At 39.8% G+C, this 9,077-nt stretch overlaps 1 protein-coding gene across 3 annotated transcripts in view; it reads right to left on the bottom strand.

Moving 5' to 3' along the window:
* Positions 1-1,291: 1,291 nt before the first annotated feature.
* CFAP58 (cilia and flagella associated protein 58) overlaps positions 1,292-9,077 on the bottom strand; it is a 116,583-nt gene continuing 108,797 nt past the window's right edge. For all 3 annotated transcript variants that reach the window (NM_001400226.1, NM_001400227.1, NM_001008723.2), the window contains 3 exons: positions 8,577-8,696; positions 6,190-6,323; positions 1,292-1,972 (listed from right to left, as the gene is read on the bottom strand). In NM_001400226.1, the coding sequence (NP_001387155.1) occupies positions 1,864-1,972; positions 6,190-6,323; positions 8,577-8,696 (363 nt within the window). In that variant the 3' untranslated portion in view covers positions 1,292-1,863. The remainder of the gene's footprint in view (positions 1,973-6,189; positions 6,324-8,576; positions 8,697-9,077) is intronic.

The following is a 9,077-nucleotide window of genomic DNA, read 5'->3' as shown; positions in this document are numbered from 1 at the left end:
CTGCTTTACCTTACCTGCAAAAGTCTTTTGTCTAACCAAAGTATGGTTGGCTCTGAGGGAAGATATCATCAGTGATTTTCAAAAACAGAAATGGCCCCATTGTGATTTTTTTAGGTTTAAAATGCTCTTGGTAAATTCTCTAGGGTACAGTCCCATCCTCTATATCCCTGTATGGTGCCCAAAGAGCTGATGATCACCCTCTTCAAAACGTTATCAGCTACACTGGAGGTTGCTTTCCATCTGTAAGTGTTCTCTCACTGGGCCCATTTGGGAGAAGCAGAGGATGACACTGCCCAACTCATTTCCCCCTGAGCCCTTAACCACTTTCACCTCCAAGAGTCAGCACCTGTGGTCTCTGTCTGAGGGCTGCCACCAAGCTGCCAAAGCCTGCTTTGCCTACAAGCAGAGAACCAGAGTGGTCCCTCCAGAGCAGTCTTTGGCCAATGACAGACAGCATAGGAGATATATCCCAGCCCCTCACTCCTCCTGGAGACAACTCTGAGATGTGATTACATTGTCTCCAGAGCTCTCCTCCAAGATGGAGCCAAAGTCTCCCATCATGGAACTGGACATAATATTGCACCCTTCTCAGCCTCCTTCCCTTCCCTGTCTTACTTCACCATCCTCTTACTGGTTTTCCTCGGATCACTTCATAATAAATCACTTTCATTGACACCAATGTCTTTGTTTTGCTTCTGGAGAACCTCATTTAAGAGTGGAGACTGGCATGTAGTGAACTGAAGGTGACGCAGGACATCCAGAATGTCCCTCTGAAGTCCCACCTCCTTGTGTGGTCTAAACAAACATCTCAGGTCATTAACACTCCTGCTCTGCACAAGGGAAATCTTGGTCCCTTGGCACAAAGGGAATGTTATGATCCATTAACACTGTGATTGTCATCCCTGAGCTACTCCTCAAAAATTTTTTAAAAATACAGAGGTCAAGTTATTGTGAGAGAGATGGCCAGAGTGTCCTCACACAATATAACTGAATGAAACCTCTTAATGAGAAAACTCTGAATGGATGCCCCAATAATTGTGGCTTCAACAACAAAAAATCACAATGGATTCAATGGCTCAAAACGCTGGCAGCCTGGGAACCAAACAGATGCCTATGCTAAATAACTGTGTTCTCAAGTCTAGGAGGAGGACAGAGGCCTAGAACGGATAGGAGACCAGCCGAAGTCTCTCATTTCATGGTCTTGGTTCCTGTGAGTAAAATGCTCTTGTTAAACATTTCTCACAGTAGCTTTAAACTTTAATTACATACTCTACCAAAACAAGTATCAAAATCTCTACAAAGATTCTTTTTTATTTTTTATAATGAAGTATTTATTAGTGTGTCTCTTTGGAATAGATTTTCCCATTCCGGGCCTGAAAAGAAATTCCATATAGAAATCATTCTCAAAACACTTTTTAAATTCTTAAGAGTTTGTCCTTCTTTCTCATCTCATGCAATGACTTGTTAATGAGGAATAATTAAAATAGATTATTGTTAATAAGGTGAGAGGGGACACATTGCATTTCAAAAATACTTTTAAATATAAAACCTTCAAGTACACCAATGTCTGTAATAAAGAAATTAAGGTCTAGTACATTTCAATCAATGGGGTAGCAACAAAAGATTTGCTTCATGCAATAGGTCAGCCTAACTGAACAGAGAGAATTATGATCTGTTAATATCAACGTGAACCAGACAAAACACCATCCCTCTTATATGTATGTGACTATGATAGTTCTGCATTTCTTTCCATCCTGGATTCTCAGCACTCAGTTCTATGATCCAAGGACTTTGAGATTCCCCCAAAATGTCCCAGAGCAGATTTCATGAGTTGTTCAACTGGAAACAGCCAGCAGCTTCAGGTTAGAACGTCATTTTGGTTGACCTGAGAGGAAATCCGCCCCCAGTAAAACCAGGACCATTTGGTTTGACCATTAAGAAGGTGTTATCCATGGGTGCTGTGTCCTTGTTTCTGTAAGAGAGGAGGTGAAAGTTAGCTTCCTTAACATCCTTTTTGTCTAAGTTTGACATTTGATAATCCTAGGGTGTGTTAGCCACTGAAAACTACTTTGATTACAGCTTCTAGTTTTAGACAAGGTAGTTGTTTAAATCTAATTAGGTGTTCACTGAAAAAAACATAAAATTAGGGCAAGACAATTAAATGCAAAATATGCTCTCCTAATGTTTATTTAAATATGAACAGAAGACCTCATTATAACTCAAGCACTATGTATTTGGTGACTTCTGACTTGGAATCATCTTCCTGTTTTATAAAACATTTGTTTAGCTCCAAAGATCAGTCAGAAGAATCTTTTTCTTGGCTCAATTATAATGACTAATTCATCATTTATCAACTTTTATATTGCAAAGTTCTGGTAGAAACTTATAAATATTTACTACACAGAAGGTATCTTCATCAAACTTGGACATTTATAAAACACAAATTTTCCTGTAACCCTAGACAAGCAACCATTATTACTAGAAATAGTTGAAGATACAAGAAAAGCTGGGGAAGATAAATAGTATTTTTGGCAATGGATGAGGGAATTCTGCCCTAAAATCAACAATGTAACTTCTATATAGATGTCCTTTAAATACACACACACACACACACACACACACACACACACACTCATATTCATGTTTCCTGCAGAAGTAACCTAGATCTACACAAGTTATCATACAGTTGGGGTCTTAAAGAAAACACCTTTGGAAACCCTGTTAAACAATAAAAATTAAGCAAACTGCTAAGACCAAAACCAATTAGATTGGACAATTATGAATGACTCACCCTAGGGGAACAAACTGTCTTTTGGAAAAGAATCTGGTACTGCAGACTGTAGATCAGCCTGGGGATGTGGAGTAGGGTAGACAGGGGAAGTGGCAGATGCAGTTTGGGATCACAGTGTGAGCAGAGGGGTGATTAAGAAAAACAAAAGAAGGTAAAAGGTACAAAATGATAAGAGTTGCTATTTTGTTAAGGGCATATGTGGAGAGAACATCCACAGAGATTATTCTAAATTATTCCATTGGGAGAGAACCTGTAGAGGATTGGTAACCAACCCATCTGTCTCTCAGCAGAATTGATTTCATTATGGTGAAAAACCATTCTCCATAAATAGGACAAAAGCTTTAGCCTTGAGTGGATCCAGCAAAACAAATTCTTTCTTGTACTTTGGCAACTCGTCTGGCTCTTGACTGGTGTTAGAGGCGGCATCACTCCCCCTCCCCCTGCCCTCTCTCACCTTAAATAACCTGAATTTTCTTTTCCTGAAGGAGCTTACGCTTAATGCTTCTGGCTTGGTCTAAGCTGACTAATGGGAATACTGTCTCCTTTATATTATCTTTTTAATGTATTTATAGACCATTATAATGACTCCCTCAGCCTTCTTCTTTCCAGTCTATACCATCTCAGCACTTTTGTTCTTGCCTCTTCATATTTTTTTCTTCAGCATCTTTTTTGCTATTCTCCTATGAACTAATCTCTGTCTACCAGTTTATGGATCCCCACGTAGATGGAACCACCAAAGGAACCCTAACTAGGTCAGAGTGGCTACTAGTAATAAGCGTGTAAGGACAAGAAGAGGACAGGTAAAGGCAAAGATTCTAGAGCTTTCTAGAACTTTCTAGGACTGCCCAATTGAACTTTCTGTTATACCCAGCCACTAGCCACATGTGGCTGTTAAAGCACTTGAAATGTGACTAGTGAGACTGAGGAACTGATTTCACAGTAATTTGTTTAAATCTCATTGGCCACAAGTGGCACACTGCTGAGCAGCACAGTGCTAGTGGATGGACCCATCAAGAAGGGCTGAGCCAATATCTGGACAGCTCATGCTCTCTGTGTCCATCAAACTTTGGGGCAGGAGAGGGAGCAAGATTAGCAGTCAGTAATGTCAAAGAAGACTAGGCCAAACCCCAGGGTCAAGGCAAGAAAATTAATCAGCTCTAGAAAGATAATAAACAGCCAAGCTAGCTGTTTATAACAGTGTAAACTAGACCATCAGTCTCCAAATGGAGTGTACGAACTTTAAAAAATGAATGAGATGATCCATTGTGGGTAGAAAGAAGATATTATTCTATTAATTTTATTAATTGATTATTTTCTTTCATTTCTATTCTATTAATTTATTATTTCTTACTATTTTATGTATCTATTAATAAATCTATTAATACTTTTATCTTTAAAATTTAAAAATTATGCCTAAGAGTTACAAACTGGCAATGGTATCTGCATATAATTTATAAATTAAAATACATTGCAGGTAAATCTAAAACTATTCTGAAATTTTTAAATTATTTAAAAGATATATGCATATGCATGAGGGGATCTGCAAGTTCAAAAACGTTTTACTGGCAGGGCACAGTGGCTCATGCCTGTAATCCCAGCACTTTGGGAGGCCAAGGCCAGCAGATCACTTGGGGCCAGGAATTCGAGACCAGCCTGGCCAACATGACAAAACACTGTCTCTACTAAAAATACAAAAAAAAAAAAAAATTAGCTGGGCATGTTGGTGCATGCTTGTCATCCCAGCTATTTGGGAGGCTGAGACATGAGAATGGCTTCAACCCCGGAGACAGAGTGAGCCAAGATGGTGCCACTGCACTCCAGCCTGGGTGACACAGTAAGACTCTGTCTCAAAAAAAGAGTTTTACTGATAAGGGTGCACAATCAAAGAGCTTGAAGACCATTGAGTTAGACACCTGCTTCATGTGGAAATTAACCATGTTGACATTTTATGAGCACAACCTTGATATCCTAAAAGAAAAATACAGTGTTTCCACTCCAGCATTCATTTAATTTACATTGTTAATATTAGTGGTTCTGAAGCTTCACTGTGCATGAAAATCACCTGAGAAGCTTATTAAATTGCAGGTTTCCAGAGCCTGCTGAATCCAAGTATCTGGAAATATGGCCTGGGAACCTGTATGTTTAATAAATCTCACTAGTGATTCCGAACCAGACAGATAGCTGGTAGACCTACACATTAAGATGGACTTATCTAAATTATAGCAGTATTTTACTCTACCATGGAACTGGCATCTAAATGTGGAACGGGGGAGTATTCTGATTTACAAGAAGGGCAGACTTTTACTGGCAAATGAATTTGCATCCAGTTACCTTATATAACTTTGCTACTAACAAATCATAGGCAAATGCACTCAAGCCATATTTCACCATGTCCCTGAAATGTCCATGTGGATAAGTACCAAGCATGAATTTCAGCCCATAACGTGAGTCACTACAAGATTAACTGGATGATTTTGGCAATGTCACGCAGCCAAACCAAGTTTCAAAACTAGTTCGTTTCAAACCTGATTCATTTGGGCCCCGATTTTCACCCTGGGATCAGGCAAATAATACTAACAATGTGAAGAGAAATTTTGTTTTTCAACATGGGAGCATCCTGAAACCAAAATGTTAACCTCACCTCTTCATTATCATCTCCTAGAAGAATAGGTCACATCAACCCTCCACAGCAGATGCTGAAGTCAGTCACTAGACATAGAAGATGGTTCAGAGATAATAACTATCTAAAAACCTAGGCAGGCAGGACACCATGGCTCACCCTGTAATCTCAACATTTTGGGAGGCTGAGGCAGGAGGACTGTTTGAGGCCAGGAGTTCAAGACCAGCCTGGGCAACATACCAAGACCCTGTTGCTACAAAAAAAAATCAAAAATAAATAAATAAATAAATAAATAAATAAATAAATAAATAAAACATAGGTGAACTGCTAGTAGTTATAGTGGTACAGGGGCATCATTAGAAAGAACAGCTTTACTAAGCCCTGGTCCCTTAGCAAAAGCACATGTGGTTTTAAATGTGAATATGCTGTACAAGGCTGATTTTGAAACTCATTTGCAAACATAGTTATGACATTATTATCTCCAAACCATAGACTAGTGTGGGGAGAAAAGTCATATTACATTTCCTCTGCTCCATGGTAGATCCACCAATGAGCAGATATTAATGGATCCCTGTTAGAATCCCAAGGAGGGGACTCAGTATCAGATGAGACACTGATCTTGCTCTGATACAAACTTAGTGACCTGTAGAATGTCATTTGTTTACCCTGTGATTTAGTTTACCCCAGTGAAACTTGCAACTCTGTGACTGTTCACCAAATATTTTCTTATGTGCAGATAATAGGCACAACAAAATTAGGACGTTTGACTAATTCTTACTTTTGAAGTTGTTCTTTACGTTTCTGAGCGAGGTATTTCTTCTTTAAATTCTGGAGCTCATTGGTAAGTTTCTCTACCTCATATTTATATTCTTTGCTCTGTACTTCATACATATTCAATTCTGAAGACAAAACCTAACATGGCAAATAAAGCAGCATTAACAAAAGATACAATATCCTTTTCTGAGAAATCTTTTAATCTGCTACCATTTACCGCAGTGGAGCTAGAGGTGCAAAACAATGCCCAAGTTTCACAATTAATCTGCATGCTTCCACCAGCTCAGGGTCCACATCTGAGTAGAAACCTGGCTGAGGGCTGAAGATGCATCACTAGGTTGCAACTTTAAACAAAATATCATTCCCCCACTTAAAACAAGAACTATTAGACAACATTCGAACAGGCTCACAGATGAATGGTCTAATGTGCTTCAAGGAATATCATGAATAGAGACAGAAAACTCCCAGACACACAGTCTAAAATTGCTTTTAAAGCCTTAAAAAAAAAGAAAATATTCAAGAAAAACATCACCAGAGTGTGTGATTCATCTGAGGATTATGAAAAAAATTATTCTGAAGTCATCCTGCCATCACTGCTAACTAAGCATTCAATTTATGTGTTTTCCAGGGTTGTGATGCTGCTGAATGCCTATCCCCTCTTTACTGTGTTCTTCGGGACTCTTCAAAGCCTGACTATCTGCTTCCTTCCATTGCTGTGTTCGGTAGCTGCTGCTGGGCTTGGGCTGGACAAGAAGAGTGGGAATTCACTCATCTGCATAGGACATAGCGCATGCCAAAGCTGGGGTGTGCTCCCCACCAAAACCAAAAAGAGAAAAGGAAGGGTATTGTTCTAACAGGCATGCAATAGGCTGGATTTATTTTTCCTCTTGCTTGTTGTTTTAAATATTTGCATAAAAGGGAGATCTTAGCCTTCTTAGTGTTCATCTGCTTCTGAACTCTTTCTTCTTCACTGCTGTGAAAATGATTTTGATTAGGTTATCATGGGCTAAAGAACGTAATTTTCATGCTGGAAAAAAAAAAAAAAAACCTGTCTCAGTAGTTAAACTTTTAGAAACAAAGACCCTCCTTCTAAACAATGAATGTGGAATTTCCTATAAGAGTAGGTAAGTATCAAGGACAAACTGGCAGACATGCTCAGTACCACCCACCTCTAAACCTCTTCATGAGGGGTCACATTTCATTTGAGCAAAAAATCTGGATTTCCTGAGATAAAGGGTTAAATTCACAAAAGGCTCCTGTGAGCCTTTGAAGGCAACCCGGAGCTCTGTGTGAATAAGACAGCTCTGTGCTTTTCTAATCTATATCTACCTCTGAGAAAACAAGAAAATAATTTGTTTTGTTCAAAATATTCAATTGTTTAAAGGAACAAAATAATCAAAAGATTACGTCCTATGCAAAATTCAAATTATGTCTCAAGATACTCAAGTGAAATGAACATTCAGAGTGACAAATTGAAAATTAATGCTCTAATTAGACTTGTTTCATTTGCCCTTTTAAAATAAAAGGATGCAGTTTTACAATGTCCTATTTTTGAAGGGGTTAGGGCTATACTAGTAGGGTGGCATATATTTTACCCCAGGCAGAAAGTCAACGATTATTACCCTCATTGGGCAGGAAGTGCCAGAATTCAACTGGCACATGCTTCATCCTGTGGCTGTGTGTGTAAAACTTCCCTGATATGCCAAGAATAGCTAAGTACTTGCTTAGAAGGTGAAGCTCAAAATATAGTGTGAACATGCACAACTTTTGAGAAAACTTTCAAAAGGCACATAGAAAAGTAAAACACTCCATATCTCTGCAACTGAGGGTCTTATGTGACTTAGAAGGGAATCACACTATCAAAAAATCTTGCCTGATTTTATTTCCCTTTCATGGTTACATATTTGACAGCTGGTCAGGAAGCAAGGCCCTCAGGGCTGGGCAGTGGCTGGACTTCTTCTGTGTATGTTTATTTCAGATGGGATGGAATACCAGGGACCCACTGTGGCACGGCAGTCTGCTTCAGTTGGTCAATGGTGTTAAAATATTTCCTTTGCTCCTCCCTGCCCTTCAAGTACTCTAATAAATCATCTCAAGATCATTCATCCAAACCCTGTCCGCACATCTCCATTCTGTTGTCATCATCTTTTCCTCCCTTGCTCACCTGCCTCTTTCTGGAAATGGAGAATGGTGCTGTCTAATAGTCCAGGAAGAGAAGGATAGCTCTGAGGTCTGCTGGCTCATCCTAGACTAGAGCTCTAAGGGAGCTGACCTCAGAGGATCGTGGCATTGAGAGACTGGCTCATTGTGTGGAGTCAGTGGACTTGTCCAGGTGTGCTCCCCAGAGTGTGGCTGCCCTGGAACCCGGAAGGAACAGGGGCTACCACTTACTTTCAGCTGCTGCTTCTTGTCATGCAGCGTGCGTCGGTACAGCTTCAGCTGTTCCGCAGCCTCAGGTCCAGGCTGGCGGGCCAAGACGTGCTTTAGTTCCATGTAGAGTTTCTCCTTTTCCTAGTGGAGAGCAGAACCAGGAGCAGAGATAAACAGCCCCGTCAAAACAGGGAAAATGCCTTTCACTGCATGGCCAGCACAATTTGGGAGTGGCCCAAGCTACTTCACAGCTCCACAGTGATCACATTCACTCACAGATTCATTCAGTCATGCATTGAAACAATCCTTATGAAGGGCTGGGAATGTCCCCAACATTTGGATACAAGTAATAAGACAATGAGTAAGAGAAAGTTCCTCTCTACCTGAACATAAGATCACAAGGACTGGGAGACAAGGGCAGGATACAAGATCTTGCCAAGAAAAGGAGGGAGTGACTGACTCTGGTTGGAGGAGTTGGTTGCAGGAGGAAGTAAAAAAGAGAGTTTTTCAAGAAATATAATA

Source organism: Homo sapiens, chromosome 10, assembly GCF_000001405.40.
Source record: "Homo sapiens chromosome 10, GRCh38.p14 Primary Assembly".
Classification (NCBI taxonomy): domain Eukaryota; kingdom Metazoa; phylum Chordata; class Mammalia; order Primates; family Hominidae; genus Homo; species Homo sapiens.
Note: the sequence above shows the minus strand (reverse complement) of the source record. Positions and strands in the feature narration are given on the sequence as shown.